General features: G+C 42.2%; 1 long non-coding RNA gene across 2 annotated transcripts in view, besides 1 other annotated feature; it reads right to left on the bottom strand.

Annotated features, from left to right (window-relative positions):
• Positions 1 to 24786, bottom strand: part of LOC105377043 (uncharacterized) — a 191504-nt gene that overhangs the window by 43356 nt on the left and 123362 nt on the right. The gene's annotated exons all lie outside the window — the stretch shown is intronic.
• Positions 23469 to 24337: an enhancer, noted in NCBI's record as "NANOG hESC enhancer chr3:40885161-40886029 (GRCh37/hg19 assembly coordinates)". NCBI's record gives its function as "activates a minimal SCP1, AML or CMV promoter by ChIP-STARR-seq in naive H9 embryonic stem cells {active_cell/tissue: H9 hESC(naive)}" and the evidence as "EXISTENCE:reporter gene assay evidence [ECO:0000049][PMID:30033119]".

The raw sequence follows: 24786 nt of genomic DNA, 5'->3' as shown, positions 1-24786 counted from the left end.
AAAGACGGCACTCCCTACCTCTTTCCCATGGGTGGAGTGGGAAGCCTCATGACATGACCACAGCTTTCTCTGAAAAATGAATACATCAGACATACTCACACACATGTTCAAAATTCTCTCATTCTCTCTCTCTCTTTTTGTATTCCCAGAGTAGGTAAGAGGGGACTTAGAAGTTATGAAACCAGTTCCTCACAATTTTCCTTATAATTTTTGCATGAGAGATCTGGCTTTGGAATTTCACACTATTGTGTTTCATTGTGTCTGTGGAAACTTCAATATTAACACCTTACTACAGGTGCCAGACCCTGGGTTAAGCACAGTAAGTTGAGTCACATATTATTCGCACGACCCTGTAAAGTTTACAGAGCAGCTCATGTGCCCTGCCTCATTTGGCTCTCCCCACTGCCCAGCAGAGTGAATCTATTGAGATTCAGGAGGCTGTGTGGTTTGCCCTTGTCGCTCAGCTTGTGAATGGAAGGGCTGAGGTGGAGACTTCTTCCCAGATCTCCCACTGCTGACTGCGGGCTCTGCCTTGGCACTTCTGCCCCAGAAACACACATGGATGTTGGTGACTATTACATGAAGCAGCCACTGCTTAGCACTCTACCAGATATGGAGATTATATTAGTTTGTTCTCACTCTGTCAATAAAGACATGCCTGAGACTGGGTAACTTACAAAGGAAAGAAGTTTGGCCAGGTGCGGTGGCTCACGCCTGTAATCCTAGCACTTTGGGAGGCCGAGGCAGGCGGATCACCTGAGGTCGGGAGTTCGAGACCAGCCTGACCAACATGGAGAAACTCTGTCTCTACTAAAAATACAAAATTAGCTGGGCATGGTGGTGCATGCCTGTAATCCCAGCTACTCGGGAGACTGAGACAGAAGAATCGCTTGAACCTGGGAGGCGGAGGTTGCAGTGAGCCGCGATCTTGCCATTGCACTCCAGCCTGGGCAACAGGAGCGAAACTCCATCTCAAAAAAAAAAAGGAAGTTTGATTGACTCACAGTTCCACATGGCTGGGGAGGCCTCACAGTCATGGTGGAAGGCAAATGAGGAGCAAAGCCAATGTCTTACATGGTGGCAGGCAAGAGCATGTGCAGGGGAACTGCCCTTTTAAAACCATCAGATCTCGTGAGACTTATTTATTATCATGAGAACAGCACAGAAAAGACCTGCTCCATGACTCAATTACCTCCCACCAGGTCCCTCCTATGACACATGGGAATTATGGGAGCTACAGTTCAAGATAAGATTTGGGTGGGGACACAGCCAAACCGTATCAGAGATAAAGCAAAAGACCAGTAGAATGTGTTACTATTTTTGTGGTTGTTACTTTGAGCTCCTGGGTCATCTGGGTTGACTGTTGAGGATGTCAAAGTTCATACTCATCTCTGGTGGCCATCTCACTTCTGGACTTCATCTGGACAGCTCTGACCACGGCCTACCCTCGTCTTTTCCCTGTGTGCCCTGGTTGCCTTGGACGTCTTGGGGTTCTGATGTACCCTCAGTATCCCCTACTGAAGTTTACTTTTCTTGCCTCTCCGTGCTCCAGGCCTCTGCTCATTGTGTCACCTAATTACCTTGCCTTCACTAAGGCGAAAAGGTTGAGGCAAGCCCTCAAATCCCTTGTAGGTGGCCAGTTAGCTTTTTAGTGGCCTTTAGAGATCATAACACCAGACTTGACCAAGTCCCACCCTAGTCACCTAATCCTAAAGAGTGTCTGACATGGTGGACAAGGGGACAGAAGCTTGGGATCAGGCTCCCAGGAGACTCGAAGGTGTGGGCAGGATTTTGTAGCTCTAGATCTTACACCAGATGATCAGCCATGCAGAGGACACGCTGGCCTTGAGTGGAAACTGCTTGGTAGTTGCTGAGGATGTTATGAGTGTCTAGAAAAGTTATTAGAGGGATTCAGGTTAAGGGAACATTGGCTAAGATCAAGAAACAAAAAATAGTAATAGTTAGTACATAATACATTCAGTGCATGCTAAGTACTGTTGTGCATTATTTTTTATACCCTCACTAACCTCATGTGTATATGAGGAGGGTAAAATAATTATCTTCAGTCTACAGGGGTATAGAGAGGTTAGGTAACCAGTCCAAAGTCACACACAAGTGGTAGGATTCAAACCCAGATCTTTCTGAGTTTGAAGCTCATGTTGTTAAGCATTATGCTGTTTTGTGATCTGACTCCTTAGGAACACCAGAGATGAAAATTGCCCATGTAACAATGTGGGAAAAACCATAAGAACTATTTTAAAGAAAAAATAAATTACATTTGTTGCAAAGTTCCACCATGAAAACATGTATGATTCCTCCAGCTTCTTCTCTCCCAGGGTTTCCCATTGGCTCTGCCTTGGATTATAAAGTAAATAATGGCTCTTCATTTGAAGTTTTGCAAACTAAAGTATCTTTAAAAGAACTCTGGGTGTGTTACAGAAAAGTGATTTTCCAGAAATACACATTCCTTTAAACTTTTATTCTGAGGGGCAGTCATAAGACCTACTGCCCCCATGGCCAAATCCACCACATTAAAGCAAATGAAAGCATAACTCAGATGATTAATGTGAATTATTCCTTCCATAACCCTTTATATTGTCAAAGTGCTTTGCCCTGTTGCTGTTGGTTTGTACAAATTAAGTAACTCCGCCAGCCAAAACACCAGGAAGAAAGATTTCACCAGGCTTTGATAGAATTAAATAGTCCAGCATTCTTTGGCCAACACTAAAGTTTTCATATGAAATTGAAACAAGAATAAATGCCAGGCTAAGAAAGTCCGATGACCAGAAAAACTTCTGGAATAATATTTTCACAACAGTGAACCAAGGAAATATTCAAGGCCAGATTACCCCTCCCAACAAGGTCACAGCTCTGTAAGAAAATAATTAGTAGAAGACTCTTTGTCCTTCCCCTCTCTGCAGAGTGAAGTCACTAGCCCTTTGTATTTGGTTGTAAGGCTGATATTTTAGAGAGCTTTGTTTCCTCATGCCCCAGTGCAAGCTAACCTGAAGTGGAGTTGTGTTAGGCTGTTCTTGCATTGCTATATAGAAATACCTGAGACTGGGTAATTTACAAAGAGGTTTAATTGCTTCTGCGGGCTTCATAGGAAGCATGGTGCTAATGTCTGCTAGGTTTCTAGAGAAGTTTCAGGAAGCTTCATGGTAGAAGGCTAAGGCAGAGCAGGCATGCCACATGGTGAAAGCAGGAGCAAGAGTGAGAGAGCGAGGTGCCACACACTTTTAAATAGCCAGATCTTGCAAGAAGTCACTCACTATCACGAGTAGTGATGGCACCAAGGGGATGGCGCTAAACCACTCATGAGAAATTCACCCCTTTGACTGAATCACCTGCATCCACCCCTTTGACTTAATCACCTGCATCCACCCCTTTGACTTAATCACCTGCATCCACCCCTTTGACTTAATCACCTGCATCCACCCCTTTGACTGAATCACCTGCACCAGGCCCTACCTCCAATACTGGGGATTACAATTCAACATGAGATTTGGACAGGGACTCATATCTGAACTGTCTCTGTGGTGTCTCAGTTTGAGTTCTCCCAGCAGCAGACTGAGACAAGGATTTGAGTGTGAATGTTTTTTTGAGGGGAGGAGATCCCGGAAACCACTGGCAGGGCAGTGGAGGAGTGAAACAGGAAAGGGAAAGTAGCCAACAGAAGTTCATACTAACCAAGTTACCACACTGGGGGACTAGAGGTTAATCTTGCTTAGGTCCTCTGGGAGTTGATGAAGAACATGTGCCTCTGAGGGGTAAGGATTTGGGGTATTTAAATACCATCTCCCATTACCTATTGTTTAAGAGCTGTGGGATAAGGATGTCAAATAGCTGCCTCCAGCAGCCAGAGAGAGCTCTCGGGCAAAGTGCTTTGGGTGCTGGCAGCTGGAAGATGGACTGACGTGCATGGAGACGGCAGCAAATGCCAATGCAAGCTGCATCTTACAGAAGAGAAGAAGGAGTAGGCAGAGCATCTAGGGCCCACGATACTTTTAGGGGTTCATAAAAATGTCTTAATTTTGATTCCTTTTAAGATCAGAAGAAAAACATGAATATAATAATCATGATACATAACAATAAATCCAGTCTGAATTACATTTGTCTTTATACCAATACCGTCATAAAATATGATTTTTAATTTTTCTTTTTTTTGAGACGGAGTCTTGCTCCGTCGCCCAGGCTGGAGTGCAGTGGTGCGATCTCGGCTCACTGCAGCTCCGCCTCCCGGGTTCATGCCATTCTCCTGCCTCAGCCTCCCAGGTAGCTGGGGCTACAGGCGCCTGCCACCACATCCGGCTAATTTTTTGTATTTTTAGTAGAGACGGGGCTTCACCATGTTAGCCAGGATGGTCTCAACCTCCTGACCTCGTGATCCACCCGCCTCGGCCTCCCAAAGTGCAGGGATTACAGGCATGAGCCACTGCGCCCAGCCAATTTTTAGTATTTTTAATGGAGGAAGGGGCCCATGAAGACTGACAAAAGTCATATGTGTCCCTGGATAGGGGAAGAGCTTCAATGATTTTTCTTGATGGTTGGCACATTCTCTCATTTCGGATGGCTCACACATCCAAACCACCCCACCTCATTTTACCAATTTCTCTCCACTTTTCTTTCTTTCTCTTCTGCTTCCTTGCTCCTGTGTCTCTCCTGCTGTATTTCTTTTTCTCTCTCTACAGTGAACATTTGTTATTTTTGTCTGCCCATTATTCATTCCCAAATCTTCTGATAAATAGCCTCTGAATTTGCTTCAGAGGAACCAGTCTTTCTCACTGCATGCAGTCTGCCCTACCTGCTCCTAGCCAAGAGGTGGGCACTTGACACAGATCAGATGCTCACTTCTTGGAATTTGACTTTTGAACAGAGCAATAAAAAAATAGTAGTTTCTGCTTCCCAGATCCCTGGCCTGCCCTCGCACCTATTCTCTTTGAAACCTGGTTCTTCAGCCCTTCCTTCCATTCTGTGAGTGGCTATTTTGTGCTTAAGTTATGCAGAGGTGAGTGTTTGTTGCTTAGAGCCAACCGCCCTCATTTATGTGTACATACACTGAATATATATACATGTATATATAAATTATCTCCTGGGCAAAAGTGGCTCCAAGTTCCAGGTTCATCCCTCTTCTCTGAATCTCAGCTTAGTAATTCTATATATAATTACCAAGCCAAGATTTATTCATCTCAGATAATTACAAAAAGAAGGTAAATAAATGGAAAGAATACAGAAAAACATAGATATTAATAAAATAGAAAGCGAACATATGAAAGAGAAAAATCAACAGGACCAACACATTTGATTATTTGGAAAGCTTAACGAAATTGATAAACTGGCCAGGCGAGGTGGCTTACGCCTGTCATCCCAGCACTTTGGGAGGCCAAGGCAGGGGGATCACCTGAGGTCAGGAGTTCGAGACCAGCCTGACTGATATGGTGAAACCTTGTCTCTACTAAAAATACAAAAATTATCTGGGTATGATGGCATGGGTCTGTAGTCCCAGCTACTCGGGAGGCTGAGACAGGGGAATTGCTTGAACCCAGGAAACGGAGGTTGCAGATCGCGCCACTGTACTTCTGTACTCCAGCCTGGGCGACAGAGCAAGACTCCGTCTAAAAAAGAAAAGAAAGAAATTGATAAAATTTTGGTAAGATTGATCCAAAAAAGGAGAAAAAGTCACACAAATGATCAGTGTAATAATATTATACAGACATTAAAATGACAATGAAAGAATGTTTTAAACATTATGCCAAATAGCTTGAAAATTAAAATGCATGGAAAAAATCCTAGAAAAATACGATTTACAAAAAAGACAGGAAGCGAGAATTTTAAACACCTGAATAATCCTATTATTATTGAATAAATTAAATCCATAATTAAAAAAATACTTCCCCTATATAAAACTATAGGCCCCAAAGCTATCATTGTTAAATTCCATAAAAATTTAAGGAAGAAATAATGCCAATCTTTAACAAACTCTTTTGGAGAACAGAAAATTATAAAAAAAAATGCCTCAATTCATTTTATGATGCCGGTATAACTTCATACCAAGCCTGATAAGACCAGAATAAGAGACAAAAGTAAGTTAATTTTACTCATGATCATACATTAAAAATTCCTTTAAAAAGTTAGCAAACACAATCCTATCATACACACACACACACACACACACACACACACACAATCCATATATATGTATATAGAAAATACATCATAACCAACTTAGATTTAGTCCAGAAATGCAAATGCAAGGTTAGTAGAACATTAGCAAACCCATTAATGTGTTCTGCCAAATTAAGAAATAAGAATGGAAAAATCATGTTTTTCAAAAAATGCAGACGTATTTGGCAAAATTCAATATTCATTCATAATCTTAAAAATAACAATGAGCTAGGAGGAGAAGGAGAATTCCTTATTCAATTAAAGAGTATCTAATTTAAAAAAACTGCAGAAACATTATATTTAATGATGAAATACTAAAGCCTTTTTCTTTGGGATCAGCAACAAGAAATAACTGGTACAGTTATCACGTCTTCTAGTCGACATTTTCCTGGAGGTCCTGAACAGTTCAGTAAGGTAAGAATAATAAATAAAATACATAGTGATTAGAATGGAAGAAACAAAATTGCCATTATTGAGATATGCTATGATCATATACACAGAACATTCAAGAGTATTACAAATAAATCAGACTTAATAGCAATATTGTAGAATGCAAAATCAATCTACATTTGTATCCATTTCATTTCTACATGTATTAGCGATAAACAAATTATAAATAAAATAAATTGTCTGTATAATAGTATAAAATACTTTGTAAACTAGAAAGCCTCTCCCCCCAAAATTACATATCTGTGTATGTGTATGTGAAAGGCACACCATGTTCAGAGATTAGAAAACTCAATATCATAAAAGATTCTTATTAAATTGATGTCTCAAATGAAATATGAATAGGTTTTTGTTTTCTGAAAATTAATAAGTTCTTTCTAGAATTTATATGGAAGTGCAAAGGGCCAAGAATAACCAAGACATTGTTGAAGAAGAAACATAAAGCAGGATGATTTGCTCTAGCAAACAAGGACTATTATAAAGGTCTAATAATTAAGGTCTAGGCTGGGATAGTGGCTCATGCTCCCAGCATTTTGGGAGGTCAAGGTGGGTGGATCGCTTGAGGCCAGGAGTTAAAGACCAGCCTGGCTAATATGATGAGACCCCCATCTCTACTAAAAACACAAAAATTAGCAGACTGTGGTGGCACATGCCTGTAGTCCCAGCTGCTTGGGAGGCTGAGGCACAAGAATCACTTGAACCCAGGAGGTGGAAGTTGCAGTGAGCCAAGATTGTGCCACTCCACTCCAGCCTGGGCAATAGAGTGAGACTCTGTCTCATACACACACAAAAACAGTATAGATGACTAAGGTGAAAATCTAGACAAATACACCAATGATAGAGAATACAGAGCCAAGAAACAAACCTATACAGGTGTAGAAACTTAATTTAAATCAAGGCACTACTACAGAAGATTAGAAAAAAGACTTTCCCATAAATGGTGCTGAAACAATGGGATATCAATGGGGTATCAACATGAAAACATTTAACTGAATCCCTACTTCACATTACACAAAACTAAATTCCAGGTGAATTTTAAACATAAATGTGAAAGGCAAAACAATAAATTCTCTAGAAGACAATGTAGGAAAATATCTTCATTATCTTGGATTAAATAAGAAACAAAAACACTGACTATCGTAAGGAAATGGTTATCAAAATCAGGCTCAAAATCAGTAACTTCTGTTCACAAAAATAACATGAAAATGCAAGCCAAAGAGTAGGAGAAAATATCTGAAACACAAAATTGACAGAGGACCTGTATCTGGAATGTAAAGTTCAACAAATTCAAAAGAAAAAGGCATAAAACCCAATGAAAAAATAGGCAAGGGGCTCAGAACAAATCACTTAGAGAAGAGGATATACAAATGGCCAAAAAAACACAAAACAAAGCATGAAAAGCTGATTAATTTCTTTGTAATGAGGGCAGTATAAATTGTAACCACAATGAGATACCAATAGATGTTCCTGATGAGGGAGGCCAAGGGTCACTGATGTTAAGAGGAAATTTACTTTTTATCGTATACTGTTTTGCATTGAATTTATTTTACATCATCCTTGTATTGCTTTACATTTAAAGAAGGAAATTGAATTACATTTACATTAAAGAAGGAAAACAATGAAGCCAAGGACAGAAGTGACTGGACAGACCCTGTTTCCTTGCTTGTGGATTAGTGACAGCTATTAGCTGATTGATGTTCTCAAGCTCTGACAACTACACAAAGATTAATCAATGGCTGAGAAATCAATCGATGGAGCAGCCCAACAGGTCTAGAGTCAGGCTCTAGACAACTTTTTCTTTTTTAATAGCAGAGTGGTTTAGTAAGACAATCTGGTTTTCTTTAGCTTGTAACAGCTAAACATTAGGCTAGGATGATACCCCACTGACTTGAAATAAAACCCCTATGAATATACCTATGTTTTAACTAAAGTATTTACGCAGGGGCTAATTTTTCTATTTTGATGGTCCATTTACTCACTAATATTAACTGAATGCCTATCATGTACCAGGCATTGCTCTAGATAATCGGGATATAGCAGTGAACAAAATAAACAAATTATCTGCCCTCTTGAAGCATATATCTTAGAGAGATACAGAAAATAAATAAATAAATATGCGGAATGATACAAAGAGTAACATGTGTTCTGAAGAAAATTCAGGCAGAGTTAGGGTTGAGGGTGGTGCTATTTCAGTTGGGATGGCCATAGAAGGCCTCTCTGAGGGACTGGTATTTCAGAAGACAATGGAGTGAAGTGAGGGAGGGGATCACACAAATATCTATAGAAAGTCCTCAGCAGAGGGAACAGCAAGTGCAAGAGGCCTGAGGTAGGCCTGTGTATCCCTGGGCTCTACTTGGGTTATTGTTGTTTTACAGGATGGAATGTTTTTTGCTGTGCTATCTCCTTTAAAGAGGTAAAGCCACAAGTGGGTTTAGTGCCTTTTGTTTGCCTGGATATGCCCTCCAGACAAGCCTGTGCATGATAGGTCAGTAGCAGATGTTGTCAGCAACTTGCTATGAAATAACAGATTGTCTCCCCTGGTGTCCTGGTTATGCCACTCACATCCCCAGAAGGGCTAATAAGTTGTCTTCTGGTGTAAAAGCTAGTATCTGGGGATTTCCACCCTAATTCTGTAATGTCGCCAAAGTAAAGAAGGCATCACTAACCCTATCACATACTAGGGGTCTTGGACCCCCCACCAACCTCCCCTCTAGGTGTTCAGATGGCACGTCTCGAGCTTCCAGGCTCTACCCCAGATCCTATTTGCTTGCTCCTATTCCCACAGTCTTCCTTCCGGTTCTGACACACAAAAGCTCTATTTTATTCTTTCACAATTAACTTTGGCTCATTAAAACCCAGAGCTCCGATATTTAGCAATCATAAAAACTGGCTCCCCTTTCCTTGAGGGCAAGATGAGCTTACTCTTTAAACTCTGCCAGCAAGTGGTGAGACATAGGTACATACTACCCTGGTGGGTGGGAAGTGCCCTCCACTCCCAAAGTGGATAGCGTCCGGCTAATGAGAGAAAAAAAAAAAAAAAAAGGAAGAAAAACAGCTGTCAGCATGTACAACCAGGTTGAATAGTCCATTCCTGCTGCATTTTCTCCTGCCAGTGATCCTTTGTGCATCCCTGTGTCCTCAGGGGAGCAACTTCTTTTCATTGGGTGGACATACCACCCACCACTAAGGGAGTGACTCTCTCTCCTGGCTTCCTTGAGTATGTGTGTTAGCAGGGCCCCTGGGTGAATTGCTCACCTCCTTTGTGCTTTTTCTCCCAGGGTGTCATTTCCTAATGATTCTGTCTCTTGTCCACCTCTGGACCATCCCTGTGTGTGTAGTTAGGTTCCAACATCATCATGCAGGTGTTCACTGAAGCTATGGGAATGTGTTTACCTCCCTGGCCCCCCGGGCCCACCCTCTCTTGTGGTTGCCTCTGTTTTCCTCAATTAAGGCTCTACTTTCTTGCCACAACCCAAGGGCATCCACCATCAGACTCACCTTTCCAGAAAGCCCCCTTTCCTGTCCCTTGTCAAGTGACCCCACCTACACTTGAAATTTGCACACATGAGGGCAATTTTCTTATTATTCTCCTTCGGAGAAATAGCCAGTTGTTTCTAACCTGAACAACCTTAGTGTGCTCTCCTCCACTCCCCTACATATTTTGTTGAAGAATCAAATCTTACACTGGGAAGCTTTAGTATTGATCATTTTTTTCCTACCGTGATATCCTTAGTTTTGTTCCTCAGTTGGTCCCCTTCTTGCAGCCCCTGATAGCTTAGGGTAGCAATATAATTTAATCAGTTCCTTGCTGTGGTGAACAATAGCGGTGGCTAACTGGTACTCTTACCATATTTTGGTTCTGAGGCCACCTGTGCTCTTGATCCTGTGGCTAAATTTCTTTGCTTATCTTCAGCAGAGATGGTTGGCAACCAAGATTCCCAGCCAAACCTAATGGCATTTTTCTTGGTAGTAATAGGCATGTATTAAATAGTAAATGCACCACACAGAGTCTCCATGTCCCTTTCACTCAGGAGGAAGTGATCCTACCTGTGTGTGGGGTGAGAGGAAAGTGAGCAGGCAATGGAAAGAATGACCTCCATCCAGAAGGCAGGCGAACATGTAATGTCCTACAATGCTCCTGACATAGTATGACCAGGGCAGTAGATTCCAAGACAGAGTGTGCATCAGACGCCCTTAGCGATCCTGTGAAAATGCAGATTTCAGAGATCCACTGACAGATATGGAAACTGAGGCGTAGAGATTAAGTAACTTGCCCAAAATTTTACAGTGAAGTAAATTCTATATTATAAATGATTTATTTTTATATTCTGAATTTGATACTCTTATTGTCTAAAGTTCTTCAAACTCTAAATTTGCTGTTAATTGATTCTCCTGACTATGGCTCATGGCATTTTATTCCAGGATATGTTTCATAATTTGAAATTGTGAGTTCATATTTCATGGGCTTTATTTGTGAATGTCCTGTGTATCTTAGGGTGGAAGCTTCCTACATTCTTCCTAAACAGTTTTAGTTTTGCTTCCTTCCAGATGCCCCAGAGATGTTGCCTACTGAGAATAACCTTTTATTAATTTCTAGGTTTGGGGTCTCCTGTGATACATTTGCAAATTTCCTAAGTAGACTCATTTTCATTAAAAAGGGTGGTTAAGAGAGATTCAAGCTTGTTGGCCATTTTGTTTTGAGGGCAGGTAGACTTTCTCTAGTTCACTGTGTATGTTAGTCAGCGTCCTCCAGAGAAACACAACCAATAGGGTATGTGTTTATGTGTCTATGTGTGTGTGGAGGGAGAAAGAGAGAGAGAGAGATTTATTTTAAGGAATTGGTTTACATGATCGTGGAGGATTGGCAAGTCCAAAGTCAGCAGCGTAGGCAGGAGGCGGGAGACTCAAGGAAGAGTTGCAGCTGGAGTCCATAGATGGTCTGCTGGTAAAATTTCCTCTTCTTCCAGGGAGGTCAGTCTTTTCCTAATTAACGAACTGATTGGATGAGGCCCATTCACCGTATGGAGGGTAATCTGCTTCACTCAAAGTCCACTGGTTTAAATATTAATCTCATTTAAAAACCCTTCACAGAAACATACAGAATAATGTTTGACCAAATATCTGGACACCATAGCCCAGTCAAGTTGATGGACAAGATTAATCATCACATTATGTCAGTGAGTGTGGGACATTTGAGAATTCTGGATTTATACAAAGATTCCAGTTCTAACTTTCTGTCTCATATAGGTCCAAATGCTTCATCTCTTACCCTGCATGGAATTAGTCTATTTTTAGGCCCAGGTTTCTGAGTTCCACTTAGGATGACCTAATTCTCAGAGCCTGAATTTTTATTTGGAAGTCTGTTATTGCTCTCGTTAAATTACTCCCCTCACCTGATGTTCTTGAGAAAACCAGCTCTTTAATGATGTGCAGAGATTGTGATGGTGTATTCCCTTGGCCCACATATCTCAAATCAAGTGATCTGGTAATAAATTTTAGCACCTGCAATTCATACAGTATTCACTTGGTATATTAAAGGAAATTCAAGTTAAAATGTTGTCAGCTCAGAGAGCAATTATGATCTGAGCCCAGCTGATTTAGGTGTCATGGGAGATCTGGCTTTATAAACCAGGCCATAGATTAATCTGGAACCTACTGCAAAGTGTGTATACCACAGTCATTGAAAAGGACCCAATACATGAATCTTGTAGTGCTATTAATATTAATGATGATGACAAGGCCACTATTTTTGAAGCACTTATTATATATGCTAGGTGCTATATTTAGTATCATACGTATGGTATTTCCTTTGAAACTCATGGAACAAGGAGCTGCAAGAAGTGGGTACTGCGAATGGAAAACAACCAAAGTTTGGAGCAGTTACCTTATTAGGCAGGTTTTAAAAATTGCAATATTATTGTATAACAACCCCAAATCCTAGTGGCTTTCAACAACAAGCATTTATCTGTCACTCATAAGTCTGTGGGTCAGCTGCAACTCAGGTGCATCTCCAGACTCCAGGTTTCTAGTTGCCCATTTGGTTTTCTCAGCATCCCACCTGAAAGCCCAACCACTTCCTGAAGAAGTCCCTTCCCATGGGGGAGGTAAGAAGCTCCAAGATGAGGGAGAAACAGTACGTGATGATTCTTAAGGCTTCAGCCCCGCATTTATACCCTGTCCACTCTGCTCACATTCCATTGGCCAAGGCAAGTATCACAGCCAGGTCCAGAGTAAATCGGATGGAGAAGTGAGCTTCACCCACAGAAAACCACCAGAAACATAGAAGAATCATAGACAAATAATACTATTCACCATGCTAATCATCAAATGTGTGCCTAGCACAGTGCCTAGCATGCAGTCCTCTCTCAATTAGAATTTTTTGAAAGACAGAATGAGAATATTTAAGCAAAGCTCTGATCGAGGTGTCTTGCTAGTGTTGTGGGGGCAGATCAGTCAAGTTATAGCATACTCTCTGCCCTTCATTTGCCTACAGTCGCCATCACATGCCCAGAGCCAAACCCATAGTAGGTGCTCAATAAATATGTGTTGAATGAATGAATAAGACTACCAAGCAAGAAACCCATGAGGCACATGTAAAACATGTGATGTCCCTAAAGGACCTTTGTTTGCGAACTGAATTCAAAGACATTCACATCTCTGGATGCAAGGCACCATCTCAGTGAGCAGACAATGAGGCAGCTCTGATTCGGCGGCAAAACCATCCTTGGGGCCTAAGAAATGAAAGAGCCTCTTGGGCCCTGCTATGTGGATAGGACACAGAAAAAGGGGGCCCATCTGACCCATAAATTGGAAGACAGCTCAGCTGAAAGGTGAGGGATGAATTGCTTTGCCAACTGGCATAAAAGGGACTTGAGGTTCACACTTGGTGATTAGTCCATTAATTTAATAAAAATCTATTATTTTTACCTTACACATGAAAGGGTAAAAATAGCAAACGTAACAGCTTGATGGAGGTGGTGGGAGGGTGGACAGTGACACAAGGAGGCAAACACATAGTATTTATAAAAGCAATGAGTGGGGAAGGGCACAATTTTTCACTAGTATCAAGATTAAATAGAGGATGTCCCATCCCCACTAAAGTCTGAGAGGTCTATCAACCCATTTGATCATGATAATACAAAGGGCAGGTGGCATTTCTGAGCTTTTTGCAATTTTATTTACAAAATTAGAGGTAAATCTCAATTCCAACATTTGCATTAAATAGCGTAGTACCAAATAGGAGCAAAGACAGCAAGAAATGTAGACAGAGTTGATAAAAATGTTCTAATGCAAATCCTGGGGTGAGAAGTTTGGGAAAAGGAGACTGCAGAATTCTTTGCAGTTAGTATATCACTGATCAGGCCTGCTACAGGAAGTGACCAGCCCAATGATCAGCATGGGTCCCAGAAAATGATCCAAGGATGACATGTATAAGAAAGGAGGAGAAGAGAAATAGTCCAGAGACTTTTCCTGGACTCTTCCTGCAGATGGATTCCCTGGTGCTTCATGAAGAGGGGTATGGGAAGTTGATATGTTTCTCAACATAGTTGATTATGTGTGTTACTTGTGGTTTTCCCCCTATTTTATGCTGTTCATTTTCTCCCTGTTTTATGCTGTTCATTTACCTGTTCACCTTGAATTCATTCCCTGTCCTTCTCCTGTTCTGTTCTGTGTGACATCAGTTCCCTGAAAACTACATTTCCCAGGCTCCCTTGTCCACTGGATTTCTATTAGTTTCAACCAGTGGGAAGAACCAATGGGAAAGCAACATCTCTGCCCTTCGTCGGTCCAGCTCTATGGGTGGTTATGTCTTTCTAATCTTTAATTTGTATCTCTGTCTCATTTAAAGCTCTTCCAACACTGTACACGTTTCGATCTATAGTGTGGATTCAGTTGTTATGAATTAAATCTTTTTGAGTCCCAAGTGTTTTAAAGGCAGGCTCCCTAGAAGCAGAGTCTGAGACATGGATTCTTGAGTAAGTGATTTATTGGGGCAGAGCTCTCGAGGAAGTAGGATGGAGCAAGGGGTGGAACTAATCAAAGATGTGGGTCTCAGCTGGAGTCTGATTTAGGCTCTCTGGAGCATGAATTGAACCACAGAGCTGATTCCACCTGGAGGCAAGGGGACTGGGTTTTTGTGAGTCTAGGTCAGTCAGCCAATGGCTGCTCAAGGATGGGTGGGTGGAGAATTGATAATCTCCACTGGCTTCAAGACCAATGAACAAGACAGCTGTGGGCTCTTAGGGGCCAACACTTGTTGCAGTTAGGCAGGTGGATGTGCTAGTCTGGTAAAGATGATCTAAGCAGGGCGCTATAGTATCCACTGCACCAAGTCAAAAGAACTCCTTTTAAGGTTATTCTCCATTCCTTCCTCAACCATAGCCCACTTCCCAAAAGAGAGGAACCCTATAGAAGTGACATGCAATCATCATGCATTAGCACTGTAGCCAGCAGGAAGTTACAATGCTTCCATTGTGCAGGAAGGTCATCAGAACATCTACTATCAGTGGCTGTGAGACATTGAAACTCTCTCCAGAGAGATGGGGAAAACATTCAGAATAAAACATCTGGCTGGGATGACTTGTGTGCAGCCTTGCCTAAGTTGGAAGTGGCCTTACATTGCGTGGTTTCTCCTTGAAGATTTGAAACAGTTAAATATGATCTATTACTACAAGAAATCTTTTTTCCTTATTACACAGTGAAAAAACAAGTTCCATGGGTTATTCCTGGGATTTTTATTTGCATCTATTCCTCTCCACTCCTGTTAAGAAACCTTAGTCTGGATCTACATGATCTCATTCTTGGATTGCCATGTCAGTTTCTTCATCATTTCCCACTTCCAATCTCTCCTCCTTCCATCTAGCCTCTGTTCAAGAGGCTAGAACCTCTGTAGCTCCTAGCCTGATCATAAAACACTAGTGTCATCACACCTCTTCTAAAATTCCCCAGCTGAAAATCTGTCTGCCACTTAACACTGTCTATGGTTTGGCCCACTGTGCCTTCATCACTGTTTCCTACCACCTTCCAACCCCATCCATCCTCTCCTCCATTGCTGTTCTCTACAGCGGTTCCTGCTCAGGTCCACTGGTGTCTTTGCACCATCAGTAGCCCAGGCCTTTGGGGCCTGGATGCACAGTTCTAACAGATCTTTTAGCTAGTTTCCACTTCTGTAAAATAAGGAACATTATTTAGCTTGTGGATGGACATCTAAGTGAAAAACTGTATTTGTCATGTAATTCTGTGCCTAGCACAGAATTTTTCACATGGGATGTTCAATTAGTCTTTAGTCTTCTCATATCTCTCATCACATTTTCTCCCACAGGAAGCACTGCTCTCTCCCCTTGGAGTGAACTTTGAGTGTCTATGCTAGTTATGCCTCTGCAGAACTTCCTGAACTGCCCCAGCACCAATTCTATTTTCTTATCCCCCATCTGACACACAAGGCCTCTAACAAACTAGCAAGAAATGCCGCTTTAACGTATGTTCTAACTGTTGCTACGTGTGTGGCTTCTACCCACCCTGCAGTGTTATGCCATTCATCAATGGTGCAGGTCCCTCCTTGCCCGGTGTGACTGTCTCAAATGTTAGAACCTATTCTTGATCTGAACTAAACCAGCTCAAATTGATGTCTTGACCTGGAACAATCATTAATACCATACCCCTCCCCGCCCCATTATTCTCCCAAGGAAAGGAAAGAATTTGCACCCTCCTCTGAATTTGTGCAAATTTGGAATATCAAACTATGCTGGCTGAATACAGATTTCAAAACCATTTTCCTTTTATTTCAGATCCAGCCCTCAAAGTCTGGTTGAAAAGTTTGGCTGACATGGTTTGCTTTTCATGACAAAAGGGTGTCTTAGGAAAGGTTTGCCTATTGGGGAGAAAAGCTCTGAAAAGCCCAAGAGTTAAATTCTGCCGGTGTGGCCACAGCTCCTCCAATCCTATATTCCATTATCTTCCTCTGCCCTTGAACAGTTGATAATATGGGGGATGGGGAAGAGAGGAAGAGAATACAAGCCACCTTTTTAAAGTCAGCCTGCTTTGGCTCCGAGAACTGAAGACTATGAAGATCAGAGCAAGTCCATATTCCAAGTCTTCAATGGACCATGTCCTTTGAACATGAAAGCCCTAACTTAGGCTCCCCAAGGCATGGAATCACTTAAGTGATGGTCACCCCGGGCCTAGGTCCAGCTGAGAATAAAGCCAAATATTTCAAGGCTAAAATCTTTATGAGAATGGGACATTTAACTACACCATATATTTCCAAAAATATACTGAAGACCGGAAGTGGGAGGAGACCCAGTGGCTTTGGCTTTCCTCCAGATGCCATCCAGGGCCACGTCTAGAGAGCTCTGCTTTCCCATCCTGGTTATCTACTGTAGGACGATCTGAGCAATGTCACTTCAGTAAAAAAGGGCTCCACCCCTTAAATTTTTCTGTCACTATTTCTCAATTTAAAAAAAGACTGTGTTATGGAAGCAAATGTTTTAGAAATATTTATGTATCAACTCAGCTGCCTTTTGTCTCCTTTGCTTTATCTCTAGATGAAATAGGTTCTGGGTGCAGTGCATAGAAGAACAGGATCCATCTGCTTTCTCATCTGCTGTAGTCCTCTAGTCTCTATGACTGGAGACACTCTCACTAGTCCCTCCAACTCTTTCTGGATCCTAAGGTAGTTAATGGTGTTCTAGGCCAGGCATTCTGTTCTACCCACACAAGACTTGTGTTGGTCTTGTAATGCATGCTTTGTACCAGGGGCATCATCCGGTTGGAGTTTTTTGCTTGATTTATTTTTGTTTTTTGGAATCAAGCTGCTGTTTCACACTCTACTTCCAGCAGGTTGGTTTTGGTTTTCTTTCTCCACCTGCCTTAGTTCCTACAGGAACTTTTTTGCGCTTACCCATTCTGTGTCATCTCCCTGACACTCCCTGTCTTTCCCTCTCTCTCCCATTCTGCCTCCTGCCAAGACATCTTGCTGTTAATTCACCTCTACCAGGATACTCTGTCCTTCTACCTACTGTCCAGATGACATGTTACATCCTTCCAGACCTTTCTGGGTCACTTGCAGCCTTGTGATATATTTTCAGTGCCTGAGAGGCCTCACTAGTCTGCCCTGCCAGACCCTGGTATCTGGCTATATAAGAGGCTATGATTAAGCATCAAGGAATCAGCCACAGCTTGGTGCATAGCTTGGTGCCCTGCATGGAGAACTGAAAATATGGGCCTAGAACTTTGGCTACTTTTTACTGAAGTTATAGTCCTGCATTTATTGGAAATACAATGGTTATAGAGGACCTGGGTTTTAGTCGTAGCCCTACCTTTTATCTACTTTGTCACTCTGGCCAAATCCTTTCCCTTGGTGGGACTCATTTTGCTTATCTGTGAAATGAGCCTTGAAGGAAGAAAATCCTTAAACATGATTCCAACTTCAAAGTGCTTTGACTCCTATTCACTTTGATCTGAGACAGTTCTGCTTTCAGAGATGCATGAAGACCTTGTGAAACTCCTCAGTTTATGTGGACAGAGCTGATCATTCTCTACTTGGTCTTTGTCTATAAACTTTGTCACTTAACTAGGATAATCCTTCCCCAATGACATTTTACTTTATATTGCTTTAATTAGCATCTCATTAAACTAATTCAGCATGTACCTATTTTGTATTGATGTCAAGGTAGAATGACTTTGAGAATGAGTTGAGAAACTGGAACACGAGTGCCTCCCTCCTTCTGGAGATGAAACCACCAAAACTGTCATCTGGGAACCACCCTAAAGTGGCTAGAGCTCCCAGATGCTCCTACCCTATTCTGCCTTTCATAGACCTGGGGCTGGGAATTCTATAAGCTTTCCTAGATGTGCGTTTCCTCTTCTTCCTCTTTTTTTTTTTTTTTGACATGGAGTCTCTCTCTGTCGCCCAGGCTGGAGTGCAGTGGTGTGATCTTGGTTCACCGCAACCTCCACCTCTCAGGTTCAAGCGATTCTCTTGCCTCAGCCTCCCGAGTAGCTGGGATTACAGGCGTCCACCACCATGCCAGGCTAAGTTTTGGGATTTTTAGTAGAGTTGAGGTTTCACCATGTTGGCCAGGCTGGTTTCATACTCCTGATCTCAAGTGATCCACCTGCCTTGTCCTCCCAAAGTTCTGGGATTACAGGCATGAGCCACCACACCTGGCTGAATTTCCTCTTCTTACAGAGAAAGAAAACAAAATCAACCTATACCTTGGGAAGGATCATAAGGACAAGGGTCCTTAAAAGAGTAACTCCGAGCTGACGCAATCAAGGCAGGCTCCTCTCCACGTTTGCCTTGAGAATTCTCCTTGCAGTATGGCTGGACCAAATAATAGCATCTCATGTTTCTATAGTGATTAAAAAACCCACATTATTTTTGCTACCTTATTTGAGCCCCAAAATAACCCTGTGAGACAGGCAAGGCAAATATCTAGCTGTCTACCTGGTGAGCTAGCTATTCTTATTCCCATTTTTTAGATGAGAAAACTGAGTCTCAGGAAGATTGCATGACTTGCCAAAGTCATTTTCCAACCCAGAAATCCCATATCTCAGTCTTTTCTCTTCCATACTTCACCTTTTTTATCTGAGAGTGTGTGCCTCCCTGTTCAGCCATGAGCCTGAGCCTTGCTCTGCAGTGATGAGCAAAGAACCTTTTCAGACAGATTCACAGATCATTTTAATGCAGCTGTGGAGAGGACAATAAACATGATCTCATAGCTCAGTGCGCAGAGGAGCAAGCAAGATTTAATATTATATATGGTCATGGAGCCCGGAGCCCCAGATCCAATCCTCCTGGTGGTGTGACAGATGACTTCATAGCTCCAAAAATATTGTTAGTCAGTTTCTCATAAGCTCCAGTTGTCTAAAGCTTTTGGAAGCATTTATGAGATGGGGAGAGGGGTGGCAGGAGTGGTGCTTATTGCTGCTTTGCTTTAAACAAAATTACAAAATGAGGCTCTTAATTTGCCTGTTTCTCCAGCAGCTCTACCAGCAGATATGCGTGGGTTTATAAGGTCTTTATTTCCTCCCCTCTGCTTTTTAATAGGAGAGTCATTCTTGGGGTAAACCAGATGCTGCAATTACTTGGCAACAAAAGAAGGGACCAGCCATGTGTCTAATTACTAAGGCAACCCCACATATGTGTCTGCTTCCCTCTTATTATGTAAATAGCAGGTAGTCCTATGTGTGGAGAGCAAAACCCACACAAGCTCGTAGATTCATCCATGCATTGCCCTCCAAGAATGACCCTAGAAGGGCTCCCCACATGGGCATGGCAGGGCTGAGACTTTGAGAGTGGGAAGGAAAGGCTTGCCCTTCCCAGCATGGCAGTCTGCTAATGGGGAAAGACTGTCTGGTCTTACAATGTTAGAGGTGGGAAGGCCCCTCCAGACTCCCTGCTGCAGCCTCCTAGTTGGATCTAGCTACAAGGAGGAGTAGGGGACCCCCGCAGCCTGTGGGTGGCTGGTCACGCTTCCTCTCCCAAGGCAATCCCAGAGGGAACAATGATAGTCAGTAACCACAGACTTCCAGAGCCTCAGCACCTGCTGTGGGCCTGGGTAAGAGGGAGCATTCCAAAGATGCCTGCATCCCTTGTGTGCTAGGGATGAAGGCAGAAGGAAACAGAATGCAGGAACAGACTGGGCAGACTGCACGTGTCTCTAGTGCAGCCTACAGGGAACACAGACAATGCTCAGCTGGTCTGGCAGCCTCTATTCTGATAGAGAAGACAGAACCAGCGAGTGAGCTAAAGAGAGAGAGAGCTATCCAGACTGACTCCTAAGTAACTAGGAAATCCAAAGGAAGCTAGAACAGTGCGTGGCTTGCCGATAAAAGTCCACACCGTGAGGCTTATCAGCTGTATTTGTGTGTGTGTATGTGTGTGTGTGTGTGTTTTCACAAAGACATACTGTCCCAGGATTCAGCTACTGAGCTAGGGTTCCTCTAAGTGGACAGAAACTACAAGGCTGCAGAAGTTCTTGTAGACTCTAGAATCTTTGCTAATGTACCTTGGAGCCATAAAACATGCAGGGCAATTTTTAGAAATTGATTTAACTTCTCAAGACATTTTAAAATTCCTTAGAGACTCACTATAGCAAGTAGCAGTGTCTGCTACAGGTGTTTGATGCAGAGGAATGAACTGGGTATCATTCTGTGTGAGCATGAGGACCCTGTTGTGAGGATTAGCCCCATCAACTGATGTCAAGACCTTCCACAGAGCAGAAACCCTCCCAATGCCTGGTTATCTCAGAAGGCTGCAGTCAAGAGTTCTTTCTGTTTGACTTTGCTTTCCCACACAGGTTTTGCATTTTAATTAGTTCCCACTGTTGTTGCTTTTCCTCTGTTTTTACCCCCAGGTTGGCTTTTTGTTATGGCAAAATTAGTACATTGAGAAATAAAGCTTAAAACCTGAAAACTTCCTTACCTCCAACAGTAAAAATCTCAAGTCTCAATCTTATACAACTAGTATAAGCCCAGGTCTTTGGTTTGGTTAACTCAGAAAGACTGCAGACTTTGGAGAGGGATAGACTTGAGGTCAAATCCCATCTTTGCTATTTACTTCTAGGTTACTTTGGGCAAGTTCCTTAACTTCTCTGTGTCTCAGTTTTCTCATCTATTAAGCAGAGATCATTATGCCACCCTTGTTAGGTTGCCTAAGGATTAATCAGTCAGTCATGTACAGATAGCAGCACATGGCAGCTATTCAACAAATGCCACTTCCTTTCCCAGCTGTCCTCTTGTCCTCTTGTTCCTGTCAGCAGCTGTCATTCCCAGACATGGTTCACACGGCCACCATCTATCTTTGTAAAAAGACTGACATAGGGGCTCCTTTAGGGAACCATGAAGGAAAGGGGTAGTCAGGAGCCATTAGCATCTGTTAATCCAAGAATTCTAACATATTTCCTTTGAACAAAGGGCACCACTATTATATACCATGTACATGGGAGTCCTGATTCTCTGTAGAGAGGCATGAGCGTATTTTGGTTAAGTGAGAAGACTGAAATCAGGCAGCCTGGGATCATGTGTCAGCTCAGCCATTTACTAGCAATGTGACATCCTGCAGGTCATGTAATTCGTAAAACCTCAGTTTCTTCATTTGTGAAATGTGGGGAGTAGTTCATACCTAACAGGGTTGATTGTTATATTTATTAATTTAAATAATACTTATTAAGCACTGTTTCAGTTATCTGCTACTATACAACAAATCATTCTGAAACTTAGTAACTTAAAACAACAGTTATGATTTCTCACAATTCTGCCATCTAGGCTGGGCTCAGCTGGGTGGTTCCTCTCCTCTGTGTGGTGGCTGTTGAGGCTGAAACATCTAAGATGGTGCACTCTCTCTCTCTCTCTCTCTGTGCGTGTGTGTGTGTGTGTGTGTGTGTGTGTGTCTGTGACTTCTCCATTTGGTAATTGGGCTTTCTTTTTTTTCTTGTTCATGTTTACTGAGACAGAGTTTTGCTCTGTCACCTAGGCTGGAGTACAGTGGTATGATCATGGCTCACTGCAGCCTCCACCTCCTGGGCTCAAGTAATCCTCCCACCTCAGCCCCAAATGTAGCTGGAACTACAAGTGCACACCACATCTGGCTAATTTTTTAATTTTTTTTTTTTATGGAGATAGGGTCTCACTGTGTTGCCTGGACTGGTCTTGAATTCCTGGCTCAAGCAATCCTCCTGTCTTGGCCTCCCAAAGTGCTGGGATTACAGGCATGAGTCACCGCACCCAGCCTTAACTGGGCTTTCATACAATGTGGTAGTATCAGAGTATTTGGTCACCCTACTTGGCAGCTGGCACCCAAGAGAGAGGAAGCAGAAACTGCCAGCTTTCCTAAAGGTTAGACCTAGAACCAGCACAGTGTCATTTCCACCAATGTTTATTGGTCAAAGAAACTCAAAGGGCCAGCCTAGATTCAAGGGAAGGAGAAATAAGCTTCATCTTTTCAAATGAGGAACCATGTGCATCCAGGAGGGGAAGGAATTGATGGTGGCCATGTTTGGAGAAGGGTTACCATAAGCACTTAGTCTGGTGCCTAACTAAGGACTAAGTAGGACTAAGTAGGAGTCATTTACAAAAAATGTTTGGTAGAGATCAGATTGAGATCTCTAGACACATTAGGATAGGAAATAAAACATGGACTTTCCATTCAAAATTTCAGGAGATCCTGGGTCCTTCAGACTGATGAATCAGAAATAATTCCTAGCAAGCATTCCCAACAGAAGCACCAAGAATGCCACATTCATCCTCATCCATTAAATCTATGCCTTATGTAAATGCAAAGGCTTATGCAAATGGCCTCTCGGAGTGTTGTAAGCAGTGCAGAGGTCCTGCTTTCTGTGGAGGTTAATGCAAATAAATGTGATGAAACCTACAAACAGGTGGTTCTTGCAATGCGGAGCAGAACATGGAACCCATTTTACAGGAGCCTGTTGGCCAGAGTTGAGTCAGAGTAACTACCAGAAAACCATTTGGGTGAGAGATCTCTACTACAATAAGGAATGATTTTGTGTGTCTATCATTCTGTCAGGCATGAGACAGTGATGGATGTGGAAGAGGATATTGCTGCAGCTAGCCGGAGGTGGAGAGAACACGGATATTTTCATTCATTGGACCTCAGTGCAGTCAGGGCTTCATAAATGCCAGGACCAATCTGCTCTCATAAAAGAATCAGTCGTTTTTCCCCCACACTCCCAGATCGGCAAAGTTGTATAATGTTCTTCTGAAATAAGAATGGAATAAAGGATAAAGCAAGGCAAGGAGTGGTTGGTGTGTATGCTCCGAGCCCAAAGATGATGATCAAGAAAAATTTCATTAAAATGTTTGAGAAAACAGACATATCCGCTGGACTAAATTTCCAGCTTTTGCTCTCACAGCTTATACCAGTATATTTAATTACAGGAAGAAATAAAGCATCGCAATGATGTAAAATCCTGCCTTTTGAGGTTACAAAATATTCAGTTTACAGAGTTAAGGAAAAAGATTTTATCTGTTACATGCTCTGTATCTGGACTCTGGACAGATTTAAATGTGTTTTGGGCACACAGCTTGTGGTCACAGTAAAATTGTGAAGCAATCAACTTTTTCTTAGGCCCGTTCTCTGCCTTTATTCACCAATTTTACCTTCGATTTGGCCTTCCTTTCACCCTGTCCTTGAGTGCCAGTGCTCTGGTGATTCAAGGCCCATAGCACAGCAATTTATACTAGAAGAATAAGTTTGTTTTTTTTTATGCTGGTAAAAGAATTTCTTTAGAGAGGAAATTGTCTCTGTTTAGGGAAATACCTTGATAAGCTGTTGGAGGGTGGAAGGGAGCAGCGCCCTGAGGGCATGGTCTGAAAGGAGGTAGGGAAACAGACAAGATGACTAAAGGGTTCTGCATGGGAAGCAAATAGCAGCTGGGAAACAGAAACACGGCAGAGAAAGAAAATAAACGCCTAGCCCCTTAGCCAGGAGCTGACACCTAAGATGGTAGAAATCACCCAGTGACTTGTTTTCAACAGTGTTAATTACTATAACAGCGGGTTCCCAAACTTTCTTGGTTCACAGCTTCCTTGGTGCCTCTGGCATTTTTTCATAGTGTCCCCTGGGCCACAAGAAAGAACAGTTCCTTTATTAAGTAGCAAACCCAACCAGCTTAATATGTCCTAACAACTTAATTGTGGTTTGAAATAATAATGTAAATTTAAATAAAAATAATGTTACTTTATTGTTAAATAACTACAATGATTTATTAATCACATATGTGTACACTGGATGTGCACACCTCTCAAACTTTGGACTAAGATTGGACACCCCCCACCCTCATTTCCTGTTCCATGTTGATTTTCACTCAGTGCTTGCTTTTTATCTCAGTAACCCTGAATATCCAGATTCACAAAGATATCATTGAAAGGATGTGCCGCAATCTACTGTTGAAACAGTGAACTACTTTGAGCTAACAACTTCTGCTCCAGTACCTAAGAGATACTGAATATCGCTTTGTTTACCTTGAAAATGTAAAATACCTCATAGAATTTCTTTTCTTTGTATTTTTTTTTTTTTTTTGGAGACAAAGTCTGGCTCTGTTGCCCAGGCTAGAGTGCAGTGGTGCTATCTCAGCTTACTGTAACCTACACCTCCTGGGCTCAAGCCATCCTCCTACCTCATGCTCCCTAGTAGCTAGGGCTACAGGT

Source organism: Homo sapiens, chromosome 3, assembly GCF_000001405.40.
Source record: "Homo sapiens chromosome 3, GRCh38.p14 Primary Assembly".
Lineage (NCBI taxonomy): Eukaryota > Metazoa > Chordata > Mammalia > Primates > Hominidae > Homo > Homo sapiens.
The sequence above is the reverse complement of the archived record's forward strand: the minus strand, read 5'-3'. Positions and strand labels throughout refer to the sequence as shown.